This window comes from Homo sapiens, chromosome 10 (assembly GCF_000001405.40).
Source record: "Homo sapiens chromosome 10, GRCh38.p14 Primary Assembly".
Lineage (NCBI taxonomy): Eukaryota > Metazoa > Chordata > Mammalia > Primates > Hominidae > Homo > Homo sapiens.
The window spans coordinates 121,058,689-121,077,476 of record NC_000010.11 but is presented as its reverse complement, the minus strand read 5'-3'; the positions used below and the strand labels follow the sequence as shown (position 1 = coordinate 121,077,476).

General features: G+C 43.8%; 1 long non-coding RNA gene across 5 annotated transcripts in view; it reads left to right on the top strand.

The window, feature by feature from the left end:
- The window catches only part of LOC105378521 (uncharacterized), a 78,111-nt gene continuing 59,323 nt past the window's right edge, over positions 1-18,788 (top strand). For 2 of the 5 annotated variants that reach the window (XR_001747611.2, XR_946376.3), the window contains exons 1-3: positions 1-78; positions 1,057-1,171; positions 13,309-13,465. This is a non-coding gene — a long non-coding RNA (uncharacterized LOC105378521). Of the gene's footprint in view, positions 79-1,056; positions 1,172-13,308; positions 17,105-18,788 lie in introns of those variants that run through there. The other 3 variants (XR_946377.2, XR_001747612.2, XR_001747610.2) reach the window with 3 other exon arrangements.

Below are 18,788 nucleotides of genomic sequence, written 5' to 3'. Positions count from 1 at the left end.
CTTCACATGCAATCAGCGTTGCTGAAAGCAGCTGTCCAGGTCTCTTGTCGCTTAAATTCCACTTCTCCTTGGAGCGGGGTGAGCAATTTTCTCCTTTCTCATCCTTAAACCCAAGTAGTGAATGGTGGGGTGGAGTTGGAGGTGGGGAGGGGTCCACCTCCACATCTTGCTTTCCTCCAATATCGAGACTTGGCCATTGAAACATTTTTGCTACTGGCTCCTCCAGGGATTTAGAAACTGGAGAAGATGAGGCTGTTAGAAAATGAAAAATGATGAGCAGAAGCAATTTTCCTCATGGGCTCTGGCCCCAAAAGGAGCATCAGTCTGTGCTTTGGATGCAGATCCTTGTCTGTTCTGTTCTTGATTTATTCCTGCAAATCTGCCCAAGTGCAGTTAAAGTTAATGAAAAAGAGGAGAGCAGAGAGCAGGGATCCACAGGGCTGAGACACTGACAGTGCGAGGCACTCAGGCTGGAGCTCCTGGGCAGCCTGGGCTGGAGGTCACAGTCTGCATAGAACATGCCATTCTTATTGGGAATACCATGTCTGTGCCAAGGCCCGTCACAAGGACCTGTCGGGTAAATAAAGCTGCACCTGCCCAGGCCTCAGGGAAAACTCTGTGAACTCTCTCTCCCTGACTTTATCATGGGTCATTCAAAATGGGAAGAGGATTTTGGAAACTGTGTCCAAGGTTGAAGGGGGAGGAGCAGCAGACAGCGATGTTCGTGTCTGCTGGAGAGGCAATCATGCCTCTCCAGTTATGTCCATCTTTGAACAGATTTGGATTTTCCCTTGAAGCTGGGCTGGATCCTGACTTCCTCATATTGCCAGAGTTAGACAAATAATGAGTGTGATTAGAGAAGACTGGAAGATTAGAGCTCGCACACCTGGGCTCTGACTGCAGGCCCTTTGCATCTCTCACCTGGTCTCCTTACTGCATCTCGGCCCCCCAGCTGCCTTCACTTGGGCTCCCTCAAAGCCACCACCTGAAGGCAGTAGCCAATGCAAGTACCCACGTGACTGTGTGGCTCAAAATCCTGTGCTCCTCATGCCACAGGATGAAGTCTGAGATCTCGAATGTGGCCTCTGAGGCCCCATAAGATCAGGCCCTGCTTTGTGTCCTGATGCCAAGGTCCTCAATGCTGAGAGCCCTGAGCCCAAGACAAGGTGTGGTGAGTAAGATCCTACATAAGCAAAGAAGCTCATGAGTGATGGCTTCCTTCTTCCAGCATCTACGGAGCGCTCCTCCCAGCTAGGTGTTGTGATCAGTGTGGGGGACAGTTGAGGCCTCTCTGTCACCTCCCTCCCACCTGGTCCTCCCTCCAGCCTAGCCCAAATGTTGGAGCTTCCTGCCTCTTCCCTCTGGCCATGTCTCTGGCTTCAGCCCATGCCTTCCCCTACACCTGAAGTGCTTCTTATACCTCTGCTCCTGCCCAGCCCTTCTTCATCCTTGCATATCTGGCTCCCAATGACTCTTCCCCTAAGAAGCCCTCTGAGTCTCTGCCCAGGCCTTCATCCTTGCATATCTGGCTCCCAATGACTCTTTCCCTAAGAAGCCCTCTGAGTCTCTGCCCAGGCCCCTCTTCTGTTCCCACAGGGCTCCTTCGTCTGTGCCTCCATAACGTGCTGTGCACAACTTTATAACAACTCAGCACAGTGAATTCAAACATCCCTTGATTACCTGCCCAGAACTGGCACTCTGCAAATGTTTATGAAAGGACTAAGGGAAGGAAGGGAGAGAAGGAAGGAGAGAAGAAGGGAGGAAGAGAGGGAGTAAAGGGGAGAGAGAAGGGAGAAAGGGAGAGAGGAACAGAGGCGGGAAGGAGAGGAAAAAGAGAGCGCCGTCTCTTCACTCTACCGTAACCTTATTTAAGACAGGGATTATTGCCATCCGTTTCTATATTCCCACAGTGGCCAGAGCAATCCTAATAAAACACGAGTCAAACCGGGTTGCTCAGAGTGAAGGGTCCTGGTGATAAGCTACAAGGCCCTGACTGGGCTGGGCTGGCCCTGGCCCTGGGATGTTTCTCCTCTGCAGCTCTGGCCTCCCTGCTTCAGCCTCACTGGCCTCCTGCTGAGCAGAAGTTCTGCCTTCTCAGTGGAGACCATGCCACTCCCAAGGGTACACAAGTTGGCTCTTGAGGGCAAAAAGTATCTTACTTTTTAACATTTATAAAGCACAGATATACACACAGTAAATGAACGGATATATGATGTATCTACGGCTTTAAAATGTCATGAGGGGGCAATTAGCGAAAATAAAAACGTGTAAAAGAACTCCATAAGAGGGCAATAAGAAAAAGATTGAGAAACATTGCTTAGGAATGCCGGAAACCAACTGACCTCAGGGTCTTTGCACTCGCGGCATCCTTGCTTAGATGTCTCTTTCTTCGAATCCTTGCCTGGCTCACTCTCTCACCTCCTTCACTCCCATTTACAAATAGGATTCTTGGCTGGGCGTGATGGCTCATGCCTGTAATTCCAGCACTTTGGGAGGCCAAGACGGGCGGATCACCTGAGGTCAGGAGTTCGAGACCAGCCTGGCCAACATGGCAAAAACCCCATCTCTACTAAAAATACAAAAATTAGCCAGATGTCATGGCGCATGCCTGTAATCCCAGCTACTTCGGAAGCTGAGGCAGGAGAATCACTTGAACCTGGGAAGTGGAGGTTGCAGCAACCCAAGATCGTGCCACTGCACTCCAGCCTGGGAGACAGAGCATGACTCCATCTCAAACCAAACAAAAAACCCAAATAGCATTCTTTGGCAAGGCCTTCCCTGGTCACTGTGTCTGAATAGCAACCTTTCAGATTTCTTGCCCCTATTGTCTCTACTTCATTTTCATTCTTAGCTCTAAACCATCTGGCATACTATATGCTTTATGTATTTTTCTTGTTTATTGTCTTCTTACTGTTTATTTTCTGGAAGGAAAACTTTGTTTTGTTCACTGCTATATCTTTAGTACCTAGAATAGGCTCCAGTGCAGAGCAGGTGCTCAATAAATACCGGTTAGATGCATGCTGAGGATGAAGCCAACACGTAAGAGGTTCTTAGTGTGCCAGGGACCAGAAAGCCCCGGACAGTGATCATCTCCCATTCTTGGCAGGAGCTTCAACTTTCTCCTCAGCCATGATGTGCGGAAATGCTAGGAGCCATCTCAGCTAACCAAAGATCGGGGAGAGGAAGGCAATCAGTGCCTGAAATCATAACTGGACTACACAGCCCTGGACAACTGAGAATTAACTGAGTGTGTTCTGTAGGATGTGTGTGCTGTTCTAAATGCCCCGTGCCATGGGTCTGTTTTGGAAAAGGCAAGAAGGGGTCAGAGAGGGAAGGAGTTCTGGGGACCCCCCCTGCCCGAACTGTGCCCTCCTCTGCCATCCTCTTCCCCAAAGCCCCAGCAAAAGCTGCAGAACCAGGGACTAGGACAATAGGCAGGTGACACCACCATCCTGATGACAGAGGCCACACTGGCCAGTGTCCCCAAGAAACACATTGCTTTAAGCTTCATTTGCTTGTAGGCCAGTAGCTGTCACCAGGAGCTGCATGTTTTTCTTTTCACGTTGAACACAGACAGTAATTTCTGAGTGGCCTGGAAAACTTCATGGGGAGAGTTTTATCCAACTTTGTCATCACATTTTAGTGAGCAGCAGTCCCCTAGGCAGACCCTTTTTAGCTAATAAATTGTGAAACTCGATACCGGGTTCTTAATTGATTGAACGGCTACCTTATGACCATTCAGTAAAATTATATAAATTCATTTCTACAGTATTATAAATTACTTATTATCCTCACAACCTAAAAAGTCAAGATTCATTATTATGTTAGTCTTTTGTTATGTATTTTTTTTTTTTCATATTTTATAAGCACTTTTTTTTTTATTATACTTTAAGTTTTAGGGTACATGTGCACATTGTGCAGGTTAGTTACATATGTATACATGTGCCGTGCTGGTGCGCTGCACCCACATGCACACGTATGTTTATGTTAGTCTTATAAAGGAAGGAAGCCACACTCTCCAAAGAAAATTTTGGCCTGAGGTTGTCCAGTCAATGTATATGTGCCAACAACTTATTTAAAAATTACTTAGACCTTCTAAATCTTTATTTTGTTTCCTTTTCTTCTTTTGTAACAGAATTTTTTTAACCCTAAATGAACTTTCTAAAACTGCTCTTAAATCTCATGGGCCCAGGTTACTTTTCTTTTCTGTTTCTTTCTCTCCCTTTTCTTTTCTGTTTGCACTTTACCTTCTCTTCCCCTCCCTGTCTCTCCCATTCTTTCCTTCCTCCTTTCCTTTTGCCTCTTTGTTACATTTACTATTATTAATATAAAAATTAGGCTGGGCACAGTGGCTCATAACTGTAATCCCAGTGCTTTGAGAGGATGAGGCTAGAGGATCTCTCGAGTCCAGGAGTTCAAGACCAGCCTGGGCAACATAGTGAGACCCTATTGCTAAAATTTTTTTTTTTACAAAAATTAGCCCGGTGTAGTGGTGAGTCCCTATAATCCCAGCTACTCAGGAGATTGAAGCAAGAGGATCACTTGAGCCCAGGAAGTCAAAGCTGCACTGAACCAAGACTATGCCACTGCATTCCAGCCTGGGTGATAGAGTGAAACTCTGTCTCAAAATAAATAAATAAGGAAATAAAATAAAAATTTTATATTACAAGTTGACGGGTGTTCATCGTAAGAAATTTGAAAAGTAATGTCAAAAATTTTATCACTTAGTGAAAAAACTATATATATTTTAAGAAACATTTTAATTATAGACTTCTCAGTCCCTCCCTCATTTCTTTTTCTTTTAATTTTTAAAAAATGAGAAAATGAGACTGACATCAGACTGATTTTTTATAACCTCTTTTTTCTTCCACTTAATATATTGTGGACATTTTTCTGTATCTTTGAATATTTTTTCAAAACATGTTTTGAATGGATGCTTAGTGTTCCCTTATAGCAATGAGCTATAATTTATTAAACCAATTCTGCATCATTGAGTCTTAAGGCAATCCTCCCAGCTCTTTTTATTGCTATAAAGAGCTTAAGGGACATTCTCAAACAAAATAAATCTTTGTGCAAACTCTGGCTTTTTCTCAACAAATTCCTAGAGGTGGGGTTGCTGGGTCAGAAGGTAAGAATGCTTCTCACTCTTCTTAGATTTGTCTGTTCGTGGGAGTCAGATGTACCCCCGACCAACCCCCATGTAGTCAAGAGAAGTTTTCCATGTCTCTTCTTAGCTTTCACATTTGCTACTAACCTTGGCCCTCAAGATCCCCTCTCCTACTTCCTTGGGGAAGCCATGCCAGGGAGCAGCTGTATATCTGTAAATCCACGTTCCTGCTCATTGTGACCTAGGGGTAGCAGGCTCCACAATCCACCAGAAAACCCTAGCAAGGCCAAGTCCTGGCTGGAGTTGTCATGGTGACAGACAAGGACAGCAACACTTTATCCACATCCCACCCAAAATCTTCAGAATTCAGAAGACACTGGGGAAAATGCCTGCTTTATAAGCTGGGACAGTTTAATCCTATCCTAAGCAGTGGGGATCCTATATGAGCAAAGGTGACAGCCAGCAAAATGTCACATAGATCTTATAAAAATACCACTTCCATGTTTTCCTTTTCACTGCTTTGTCTTTTTTTTTTCTTCCCTCTCTTCTGCTTTCAATAAATACCAAATAATCTTAGATTTCCAAAAGTCAATCTAAGCATGCACCCAGGGGACTTACGACACAAGGGTATTAACAATGAGAACACACAACAAATGCAAAAGACCCTTTGAGACAATCAGGGAAATCTGATAATGGGTTAGGTACTGGAGGTTGGAGGATGCCCAAAACAAAAACAAACAGAACATACCCAACTCATTAAGGTATGATACTGGCTTTATGGTTATATGAGAATATGTCCATAATTTTCATGGATTATACCAAGGTATGTGCAGATGAAATGACATGATGCCTTGGATTTGCTTCCAAATAGTTTAACCAAGAAAAAGAGCAAAAAGATCAACAAGGCAGATGTGGCAGAATTTTAATAATATTGTACCCAGATGAGAGGTTCAAAAATCCTACTCTTCTGAGTGTGTTTAAAAGTTTTCGTAACAAAAAAATTTAATGAGAACAATGTCATGTGCTTTACGTACATACTTTCTAACAAAGCATTGAAATGGGTGTTATAGAAAAACATCAGAGCTCTTACATTTATTTCGTGACTTAACATTTTCTTCTGAGTTACATGTGGGGTTGCACCAGCATTGTTTCAGGGCTAAGGGTCCCTAAAGGGATTAACTGAGGCCTGGTGCCCTGTGTTCCATTCCTGAAGCTACAGCGGAGACTCCCCCTCCCTCAATACCAGTCAGCAGGGACAAAGACCAAGGAGACCCCTGCCCCTCCCATTCAGGGTGGGGCCAGCTCTCTCTGTTGGGTCTCAGCCTTAGCATTCCTTACACCTTCTATAATTTAACGCTCAAAAATATATTATTCACACAGAGAAGACTTTTACTGCAGTTTATACACAAGGGCCTGCGAAAGTCAACCTTCTTCCTCCAGCCCTCCCTTGTTCTTGGTTGCTAGGCATTCTGTTGCTTATGAGTACAATATTTACTTTTATTTATTTTATTTGCCTTTGTATTTGAAGAGGTTGGGCAGCACCCAGGATGCTGGGGTTGGGGATTTTCTAGGGGATAAAATGCTCTGTGAAGCAGTTTGTCTCTGTCTGCATCTTGGTGATAGATTATTCCCACACAAGGTCAAGACCCTGAGGTGGTGCTTGGGTCTCTGCTTGAAGCCGTAACTATGGGTTTCCCACAGGAGAGACAGGAGCAAGAGGCTTTAGAACACTGCACGGAAGAGCTGGCCGATCCACCACTCCTCAGTTATTCACACTAAGGGTTTGCTTTGCAAGATAGAGATTTGTAAAATAAATGCTCATACAAGACTCGAATGATAGCATAGATGTAAAATGCAGAAGTCCTGCTTATTGCCCATACCCAGAGCCCTCTAGTGGTAACTACCATGTGCAGTCTGGCATGTTTGACAGTCCCTGCCCTTGTAGAGCTACAGGTCCTCAGCTGTTATTCTATGGACCTGTGGGTGGGGGGCAGTGCATATACAAGATAGAGAAGCCCTGATTCCTACCCTTAGGCATCAAAAAGATCTCTAAGAAGTCTCTAAGGAAAGTGCTAAGGGATTGGTTAGATGCAAAGTTATAGGTTATCATCCTAGCAGTTTAAGAAGTAAATGGTCAGTGAGAACTGAAGTCTTGGGAAACTCCAGGTAACATTTGAGAAATACTCTGAATGACCCAGGAGGTTTACATGATAGAGAAGGAAAGCTTGCCTGCTCAGGGGAGGGGAAAGGAGAGCAGGACCGCAATTGCCATGGTTATAGATGTGCAGAAGACCTGAGACTTTAGGAATCTTCTGAATGCCAATGATACTAATCCACATTGACTCAGGCAAAAGGAGGATTTATTCATGTAATTGAAAAGTTCAAGGGATAAATTGAGTTCAGGCATGGTTTGATCCAGGAGCTCCTAGAATGTCAATAACTTTATCCCTCAGCACCTTCATTCTCCTTCGTGTTGACTTCATTCTTGGACCACATATGGCAGATCAAGATGTGGCCAGCAGCTCCAGGGTCCAACGCTCTTCAGGATAGAGGCTGTGGAAAAAAGAATACATCTCCTTCTGTCAGCTTATAAATAAGTCCCAGGATTTATTCTAGTAGGACAAACTTGGGTTATGTGCCAATCCCTGAAGCAATAACTGTCACCAGAGATTGGAATTATGTCAATTGGCCGGCCTGAGTCAGCTCAGAGAGAAGGGGAGTAGTTGTTATTCAAAGGAGCTTGGAGTTCTGTTCCCAGAAGAGGATGCGCTGGTGTCCCAAGGCCGCCTGCAGAGCATGGCCTCATGGGGACTCTAAACATAATGCGATCTTGCATGCTCTACTTGTAAGAGCCTGTTCAGAAAGGAGCAAAAGCCTACAATAAAGAGGTTCAGTTGAGCAAAGGCTCTTCAACAAACCCGGAGGAGCCTATTGTGCTCCAAGAGTTCCAGGCCAGGATGGTGACTTAGGAGGGCCACACCTACTTCAGCCAGTGCTCCCAGAGCCTGCCGAGGAGAAGCTGGTTGCCTTGTGCACAAATTCAAGCCTGGGGCTTGAGATGACTCAATTGTTCATGCTCTGGAGATGATTAGTCATCCAGAGACACAGGATGTAGAAACCCAGAAAAGTGGTTATTAGAGTTTCTGCCTGGTGTCTGGGTGGGCCGGGAAGTGAAACTGGGGTCCTTGCCATTTGCCATGGCTGAGGCAGCCACAATCTGAGCAGTGGAGGACACAGAGAAAGAAGATGACATGCCTTGGAGGTCCCGAGACCCAAGGCCCAGCAAAGAGGCTGAGGCCCAGCAAAGAAGGAGGCAGCGCCTTCAGGGGCCGCTATGGGGCACATCCAGGAGTGGTCTGGGGGCCACAAGTCCTAGTCCTGGGTGATCCTGTCAGCTGCCAGCCTCCCTCATGGGAACTCCTTTAGTCCAGCAGGGACACGGGAGGAGAAGGGGATCAGGGAGGCTCATCCTCACTGCAGCTTCAATCTCCTGAAACACTGAAATCTCCTGAAACATCTTCAAATCTCCTGAAACACTGAAGCATTTTCATTCCTTTCGTTTTTCTGCTCTTCCCCATGGGCCAATTCCTGTATTCCACTGGAATTGAACAATGTGGAAATAAGAAGATAATGGAGGGAGACTTGCAATTAGTGGGGATAAAGGAAGAAGAACTAAAGGACTTGGAAGATAACCAGTTGCAGGCTTGAGAGGGACCTGTTTCCTCATCGGGTGATAAAAGGAATGTGTTGATTTTAACTGACATGGAGAAGGAAACAGAGCAAGCAGCGCAGGACTTCACTGGGGAACCGGGTGGGCAGGGGAGTTCACCTTTTGAGCAGTAATACTCTTCACTTTATTTAAACCACTTTTTTTTTTTTTTTTTTTTTTTTTTTTTGAGACGGAGTCCCGCTCTTTAGCCCAGGCCGGATTGCAGTGGCACAATCTCGGCTCACTGCAAGCTCCGCCTCCCAGGTTCACGCCATTCTCCTGCCTCAACCTCCTGAGTAGCTGGGACTACAGGCACCCGCCACCGCGCCCGGCTAATTTTTTGTATTTTTAGTAGAGACGGGGTTTCACCGTGTTAGCCAAGATGGTCTCAATCTCCTGACCTTGTGATCCGCCCGCCTCGGCCTCCCAAAGTGCTGGGATTACAGGCGTGAGCCACCGCGCCCAGCCTTAAACCACTTTTTAAACTTTTACTAGTTATTATAAGTAATATTTAAACCACTTTGGACAGAAATATTTCAAAGTGTTTTATATAGTGCTGTGCCTCCTGAAACTTGGGATATCACAGAATTTTTAGTCTTTGAGTTGTCACTGTGAGCATCAGATATGACAATACCTTCTTGAATGTACAAAACGAGACATTCAGACAGCTCTAAGCTGGAATTGAATGATATGGAAATAAGATAATGGAGGGGGACATAATTATGCCCTAAGCTGGGCATAATTTTTGTTTTTTAAAGAAACAGGGAACACTCAGAAAGTAGGAATAGGAGGGAACTTCCTCAACCTGAGAAAGGGTGCTGTGGTCTGAATGTGTCCCCCCGAAATTCATATGTTGAAATCCTAACCTGCAAGGGGATGGTGTTAGAAGGTGGACATTTGGGGGATGATTAGGCTGTGAGGGTGAAGCCCTCATGAATGGGATTAGTGCCCTTATGGAAGAGGCTCGAGAGATCTCCCTTACTCATTTCACCATGTGAGGACACAGAGAAAAGATCAATCAGAAGGTTGGCCCTCACCAGACACTGAATCCGCCAGCACCTTGATCTTGGACCTCCCAGTTTCCAGAATTGTGAAAAATACATGTCTATTGTTCATAAGCCACCCCGTTTATTATATTTTGTTACAGCAGCCTGAATGAACTAACACAAAGGGTATCTATAATAAGCCCATAGCCAAAAAGAGGTAAAAGACTGAATGCTTTCCCCCTAAAAATCAGGTACAAGAAAAAAATGTTCATTTTTGGCACTTCTAATCAATATTGCACTGGAGGTTTTAGCCAGGAAAATTAGCCAGGAAAAAGAAATAAAAATCATCCTGACTAGAAATGAAGACACAAAACTACTTCCATTTGCAGATGACATAATATTGTAGACTGTATAATCTTGTAGAAAATCCTAAGGAATCCACTAAAATATATTAGAACTACTAAATCAGTTCAGCAAGGTTGCAGAACACAAGATAAGTATATAAAATCAATTATATTTCTATACAATAGCAAAGAATGATCTGAAAATGAAATTGAGAAAACAATTCCATTTACAATAGTATAAAAAAGAATAAAATGCTTGGGAATCGATTTAAACAAAGTCGTATAAGATATACACACTGAAAACTATAAAACATTGTTGAAGAATTTCAAAAGATTAAATATAAAGAATTTATGAATTGGAAGACTTAATAGTGTTAAGATGGCAATACTTCCCCAAATGGTCTATGAATTCAATATTCAATACAAGTTCTATCAAAACTCCAGCTGCCTTTGTATATGTATGTGCATGTGTAAATTGACAAGTGATTCCAAAGTATTTATGGAAATTCAAAGGACCCAGAATAGCCAAAACAATCTTGAAAAATAAAAAGAATAAAGTTGGAGGATTCATGCAAAGATTTCAAAAACTACTATAAAACTACAGTAACCAAGACTGTGTGGTACTGGCATAAAGATAGACATATAGATTAATGGAACAGAATTGTGAGTCCAATAATACACCCATATATCTGTAGTCAATTGATTTTCAAGAAAAGTGCCAAGACCATTCAATGGGGGAAAGAACAGTCTTTTCAACAAATTATACTGAAACAACTATATATTCACATGCAAACAAATGAAGTTGGATCCCTGCCCCACACAGTATACAAAAATTAATTTAAAATAGATCATAGACCTAAATATAGAACTAAAACAACAAATCTTTTAGAAGGAAATATGTGTAAATCTTGATGACTTTAGGTTAGGCAATGACTTCTTAGATATGACACCTAAAGCACAAGGAACAAAAAATATCCAGATAATCAAATTTAATCAAAATTTAAAACGTTTGTGCTTCAAAGTATGCTATTACGAAAGTAAAAAGACAACCCACCCAATGGGAGAAAATATTTGCCAATCATATATCTGATAAGGAAATTATATCCAGAATATATAAAGAACTCTTACAACTCAACAACAAAAAGACAGACAAACCAATTTAAAAATAGGCAAACGGTCTGAATAGACATTTCTCTGATGAAGATATTCAAATAAATGATTAACACATGAAAGGATATTCAACATCATTGGTCATTAGGGAAGTGCAAGTCAAAACCACAATGAAATATCACTTCACACCCATTAGAATAGCTATAATCAAAAAGGCAGACAGTAACAAGTATTGACAAAGATGTGGAGGAACTGGACAACTCATAGATTGCTGGTGGGAATGTAATAGGGTGTCATGATCTTGGAAAGTTGTCTGGCAATTCCTTAAAAAGTTAAACATAGAGTTACCATATGATCCAGCAATTTTATGCCAGGTACAGTATGCCCATGATAGTTGAAAATATATGTCCATATGAAAATTCATACATGTCAATATTATATATAATAGCCCAAAAGTCTATCAGCTGATGAATGGATAAAGCATGGTATATCCATACAATGGAATAGTAGCCTTAACAAGGAATGAAGTACTGATACTGATAAACATGGATGAACCTTAAAAACTTTATGCTAACTGAAAGAAGCCAGACCCAAAGGCCACATATTGTATGATTCCATTTACATAAAATGTCTAGAATGGGTTAGTCTATAGAGACAGGAAGTAGATTAATGATTGCCTAGGGATGAGGGCTGTGGTAACATGGGGAGTGACTACCAATGCACATGAGCTTTCTTTTTAGGGTGATGAAAATGTTCTGGAGTTAGATAATGGGGATGGTTGCAAAATTTTGTAAATATACTGAACACTACTGCATTGTATACTTTAAAGTATGTGAATTATAAGGTATGTGAAATAGATCTCAATCAAGCCATTGAAGAAAAAGGTGGAAAAAATTAACTGAGGAAGTTGAAAATGTGGGCCACCAAGAGATATGGAGGCCAGTCAGAATTTTTCTGTTGTTCCTTTTTTCTCGATACAAAATGATATTACATTAAAAATGGTATTATACACTGGGTGCAGTGCCTCATGCCTGTAATTCCAGCACTTTGGGAGTCTGAGGCGGGCAGATCACCTGAGGTCAGGAGTTCGAGACCCGTCTGGCCAACAGGATGAAACCCTGTCTCTATTAGAAATACAAAAATTAACTGGGCATGGTAGCGCTTGCCTGTAATCCCAACTACTCAGGAGGCTGAGGCAGGGGAATCACTTGAACTCGGGAGGTGGAGGTTGCAATGAGCCAAGATCATGCCACTGCACTCCAGCCTGGGCAACAGAGTGACTTTGTCTTAAAAAAAAAAAAAAACAGATATTATACATTCTCTAAATGTTGCTACACTAGCTTTAGCCCTCTAACTGATAAGTGTATGGTGATCAGTTTCTGAATGGATCATGAATTATTTTTTCACATGTCTGACCAACACTGAACACTTCCCTCTACCCTTTCAATGTTTGGTTGGTTACTTCAGGAGGCTCCCAGGGAGAACTGTTTCTTGCCTTTTTCAGCTTCTAGCAGCCACCTGTATTCCTTGGCACATGACTCCTTCCTCCATCTTCAAAGCCAGTAGAAAAGCATCTTCCAACCTCCCACCATCTGTCCCAGAATTCTGCCACCATATTGCCTTTTCTTCTTCTATAGTCATCTCTCTTCCCCCTCCTCATATTTATAAGTATCTTATAAGGATCCTTGTGATTACATTTAGAGCCCACCTAGATAATCCAAGATAATCTCCCCATCTCAAAATCCTTACCTTAATCACATCTGCAAAACCCGTTTTGTAATGTAAGGTATTAATAACAACTACAAGTTGTTCCAGAGTATAACCCTGAAAATCTATGAGAGTCATTATTCAGGCACCCGCAGAGGTGATGACATCCAGTTGTAAGTCCAAAACCCCACTGGAGCCCTGTGGAATGAGTGAGTCCCTCTCTGAACTTTAGTTGCAATGCTACAACCAGCTGGCATTACCTCTGGACAAAAGTTTTCCTAGGAATTTTGCTTGCACTATTGTTCTGTTTGTTGCAATCACATGAAATTCATTTTTGTGTGGCAGGTGCACACAGACCTTGCCTGGATCTTTTCGAAACCAGTGGTGGATGGCCAAGATTCATTTCCACTTATTTCCCATGCAAAAGGCAAAGTTGTCAGCTGTTTGGTGAATATGTCAGAGCTCTGGCCTAGAAGAATCTCCTGGAACCCTGGCTGCCTGGGTAAGCCACAGTTGCGCTGCTTCTCCACCCAGTGACTCCAGCTGCTGCCCTTTGATCTCTGATGTTTACCCTGTGCTGATTTTCTCTTGCCTCACTCGCTTTCTGCTGTCCACACATCTCGATGAGCCGGCTGCGCCTGCCTCTGTGAGGTCCCCACGTTCCTCAGGTTTGCACCTTTTATTGTGCTTGTCAGGACAGGGAAGCAGCTTGTACCGCTGTGGGGAAAATAGAAACAGATAAGCCTTACTGAGGGCTCAGGGAAAGGGCCTCTCCTCTTCTCTCCTTGCATATTGTGAGTATACTTTGATATTTCTCTTTTGACACCTGAGATGTTTTGCAGACTTACTTCCACATTTTCTATAACATCCCGGATACACGAGGTTACCAGATTGCTGGATTCTGAATAACTGAAGCATCTCAGCATCAATCATCCTCTAAGTGAACCCAATGCCCCGAGGCCTGCTTCTGTTTTCAGCTTGTTCTGGCTACAGAGGTAGTAAGTCTCCTACTGCCTCTTCATTGTCAAGATCATTCTGAGCCAGGAAAAGAGAGACAAGAAGGGAATGGGAACAGTTCTGTAGAATTTGATCCTCACTTTTCTTGAGCTCTTTGCTCTGAACAAAACTAAAGCAGATGTTTTGCCATCTCTGTCATCTGTTGTGGCTCCAGGTGACACATCTCAGAGGTTCCTGTGACATTTTCATGTTTGCGGAGCTCCTGCCTCCCATTGCCTGTCAAGGTCCTTCCACAGCAACACCCCTGGGCAGCAGCACACACTTCTGCAACCACCATCCAAATTGGTGTGTCCAAGACTTCATGGTCGGAACGCATTGCTGCAAATTTCCAAACCCTTTTCACAGTAACTCTCATCATAACAGCTGCCATCTCTGTAGTGCCCAGCATTGGGCTGAGGGTTAACCACTTATTGTCTCTTCTACATGTGAAAATAACCTTATGAAGATGTTAGTAATATTCCCATTTTAAAGATCAAAAAACTGAGGCTCAGAGAGGTTACCTTGTCAAGAATCCTAGTTACTGAGTGGCAGAACTGGGATGTGAATACACCTCTGTCTGGTTTCAAAGCTCATGCTCTAATATAAGCTGTATATTTGGGTGAGACTGCTTCTTGGGACCAAGGGTAACTCTGGAGAGGCGTTCAGCAGAGGCTACAGTATTTACCTCTTGTAGCAGTTAGGGGAAGCAGCTATTACCTACTATTTCATGCCCAGCAGGTGTAATCCTGCCATTTGTATGGTGAGGTTTGCCATCCTAAATCTAGAACCCATGATTGCCTTCATTAGACTGCCTTTGCCAGCCCGGTATACCTACTCAGAAGACATATCTGAGCTGACTGTGAACTGAATTTTGTTCAGGACTTTATTTATTATCTGGGTCTTATGTTCACCCCCTCTAATGGAGTGTTCATTCTTGTTTCAGGTCCCCAGGTATCAATGTCAACAACAATCCGTGTCCAACATCTTCAAAATGTTTGGGCATTTACCCTCCCCAGAGTCCAGTTACCCAAGGAAATGGCTGCAGGTCCCTTTGGAGGAAGGTCTGGGAGATTAGCTTCTTCTTCAGTCCGTCTTGCCCTCAGCTTCCTGATGAGCCATCCTTGGTTTATTTTAGTTGTAGAGGTTGAGCAATAATACTTTGTTGGCTGCCTGTTTTTCCCCTCGAATGCAAATTTCTTTTTACCATTTCCGTAGCTCTTTGTGGGTTAGATCCCACTAGCTGTCACACCCACTTTGCTGCCCCTTATGATAATTACATTATGATGACTACAAACACCTTGCATTGGACAGTAAGTGCTACCTCTATCAGTCCCATTGTTACTAGGGAGCCCAGGCCTATATCATCTACCTTTGGATATCCTGTAATAGTCTTGACCTTCAGAGAAGAGCACCCACTGAGCTTCTTCATGACACTTGCCCTCTCACCGGCGTATTCTTCTTGCTTTGGCAAATACAGCATTCTTCTAGGCCCTCTTGTGAAAAAAAAACCTATCAGCTGTTCGGTTCTCTGGCCTTGTATGGTATATCCACTCTAGCTTGCCTATTTTCTGAGCCTTTCATCCCTTCCTTCCCCATCCTCCATGATCTGACATCTCCATTTGACTTGGCATCACATTTTCTAAGCGTCCAACTCCTGGGGTCCTTACCAGGATGTTAAATGTTGCATCAAAGGAGAGTGCTTCCATAGCAATACATTTTCCCCATCCAGCTTTGCATTTCATCCCACTTTGTCCAGCAGTCTCTCTATTCCCTCCTGCACATGTGCTTGTGGCACTTGTAGGACATATTGGCTGGGTCCCACAGCTCTCTGGGCTATAGTTCGTTTCTTCCCTTAGCACGTTTACACTTTTCTGGCTAGAATATGTTGTGGCTTGACCTTACCTATGGGTCTGGTGGCCAAGAGTAGATTTTTGAGGGGAGAAGGAGGGAGTTGTCATGCATTGTCTTGCAAAGCAGAACCTCATCATCATCTTCATGCAAAAGCAGGCATTAGCCTTTAAGGAGAAGAGTAGGATACTATTCCAGGCCTAGAGAATTCCAGAGGATCTGGGAACTTGAGAACTTGAGATGTTTTAATATATGAACCCAAATGTCCCCATCCCACTCTTTCCTAATCATAGAACTGACTTTGGCCTAGCCGACCTGCCAGGACTAAACTTCAGTGTTGCTTTCAGTATTTCTACTCTTATAATTAAACCTGGGGCCTGCTTCTCAGCTGTATCTGCCCTGCAGTTGCAGAGGATAATAGTCTTTTCATAGGCTTCATATAAAAGCCAAGAGGTCCTCTGGTATGTGTACCTTGCCTTATATTGGTGTTTAATCACTTAGTCTTTTATTAAATTTCTCCAATGAATTAACAGCTTCTAGCAACAACCATCTGATTCCATAGTTCTTATAATTACTATTTCCCCCAAAACTCTTAAACACCTGAGATCTCGCATCTGCCAGAGCAGTTTCTTCCCAAGTATCATGTCCTAGTTCACCACCAGTGAAAATTTTAACAAGTGAATCATAACTGCAAGTGCCTACCACCAGTGATGAGGTCTTCACTGAAGCAGCTAGCAGATGACAGCTCCAACATGCTGCTGGGACCAACGTTCATAGGTCAAGTTCCCCAGAAAACAGACTGTGTGCAGGAGGTTTCCTATGAGTGGTCTCAGGACCAGCCCCTGCGAGGGGTGAGGGAAGCAGAAGTGGGCAGGGGGAATAAACTATGATCCAGTTGCAACAGCAGACTCAGCCAATCCTGTGGGGAGCTCTGGAACTGGACTCTTTCCAGTTGAGGCAAGACGGCTGGAACCCTGTGCCCCTTCATCAGTGAGTAATAGGATGCAGGCTGCCTCCAGGTAAGGGATGTATCTTTGGGTGAGACTGCTTCTTAGGACCAATGGTAATTCTGGAGAGGGGCTCAGCAAGAGGCTACAATATCTACATCTTGCAGCAGCTAGGGGAAGTAGTGCTCCCATCCTGATGGCACATCTGGGCAGCATGTCCCTTCACTTTTTCTCTCCAATGAGAGAGAAGAAAAGAGATTAAAAATAAAATAGCCCCTTTGTTTTATATTTGAAATGATTGCTCTTGTGATTATAATTTGCAACCTTAATATAAAATGCACTGAATTAACCTTCTACCACGTCAGATACGAGGTTTGTTGTTGTTGTTGTTGTTGATGATGATGTTGTTTTTGAGACGGAGTCTCGCTCTGTCACCCAGGCTGCGGTGCAGTGGCATGATCTTGGCTCACTGCAAGCTCTGCCTCCTGGGTTCATGCCATTCACCTGCCTCAGCCTCCCGAGTAGCTGGGAATACAGGCATCTACCACCGCGCCCAGCTAATTTTTTTTTTTTTTTATTTTTAGTAGAGATGGGGTTTCACCGTGTTAGCCAGGATGGTCTCAATCTCCTGACCTCATGATCCACCCACCTTGGCCTCCCAAAATGCTGGGATTACAGGCATGAGCCACTGCATCTGGCCCAGATACAAGGTTTTAATGGTATATTCACATTTACCTGCTTCTCCATCTTTGGTGCTATGATGCCATATATTTTACTTCTACATATGTTATAAACCCCATAAATCCCATAGCATATTGCTATTATTTGTGCCTTGAACAATTACCTTTTAAAGCAATGATGAAAAGCAGCCTTTCATAGTGACTCGCATATTTGCCCTTTTGGGTGCTCTGCATTTCAGTATCAGTGGAGATACCTTGCTGATCTTGTCAGTATTTCAGGTAAGAAGGGGTTAAGCTGCGATTCCAGATGCCCTTGGTTCCTCGTGAGGTAAACTCTGGGCTTCTGAATCCAAGCACCACGGGGCATGTTTTCCAGTTTCTCTTCCACTGCCACCTCCTCAACAAAATTTGGGACTGGGTGTGGTCTAGGCAGGCTGAATTACTGGGCTGAGTGCTTTGTTTGGGGCTCCTCCAGATGCCATCCACCCTGCCAGCTGGCACAGTCAGGCTCAGCTGAGTTCTCCCCATCCCTGCAGAGTCTCCCTGGCTCCAGCAGGACCCTCCTCCATCTTGTAATTCAGGGATCTGACTCCCTCCCGCAGGTGTGGAAGCTGCTCACCATAAAGGTCTCACTTCTCTCTGGAGTTCAGGTCATCCAAGATTTCTTGCATCCCACTGCTCTTAACTAGCCTGGTAGAGAAGCACACTTTTTATTTTGTCCCAGCTTTTCTTGTAGTTCTCTCAGAAACAAAGGTCTTTCCCGTTCTCTTACGTTCTAACCAGAAGCAGAGGTCCTCTGCCTGCTTGCCTGGCCTTTGCTCTCTTTCCTCCTGCATCAGTGGATTGCTGTGAGGAGCTGATGTGGATCATATTATATTATGAGCCAGGAAGATCACAGGGCTCTGGTTTACCCAAAGCCAGTAGCTGGGCTGCTCGATGGGTCACTCCCACTTGGAATGATCACTGCATCTCCCTTTATCTCAAGGAAACACTAGTGGAATCACCAGAGCACATACAGCATTGCAGGTGAGGACAGCTGGGTCTTACCTGTATGTGTTGCTGTCAAACCACTGCAAGGTCTAGAGCTCATCACAGACTCTTTAGACTTCCATGTTCTCATTTGCAAAGTGAGGAGTTCTGCCTTGCTACCTTAGGAAAGAATTCAGCTGGAGAACTTTAGGATTCCAGTTCAGCTTTTGCATGAAAAAAAATGAAAAGGGGCCGGGCACAGTGGCTCACGCCTGTAATCTCAGCACTTTGGGAGGCCAAGGCAGACAGATCACTTGAGGTCAGGAGTTTGAGACCAGCCTGGCCAACATGGCGAAACCCTGTCTCTACTAAAAATACAAAAATT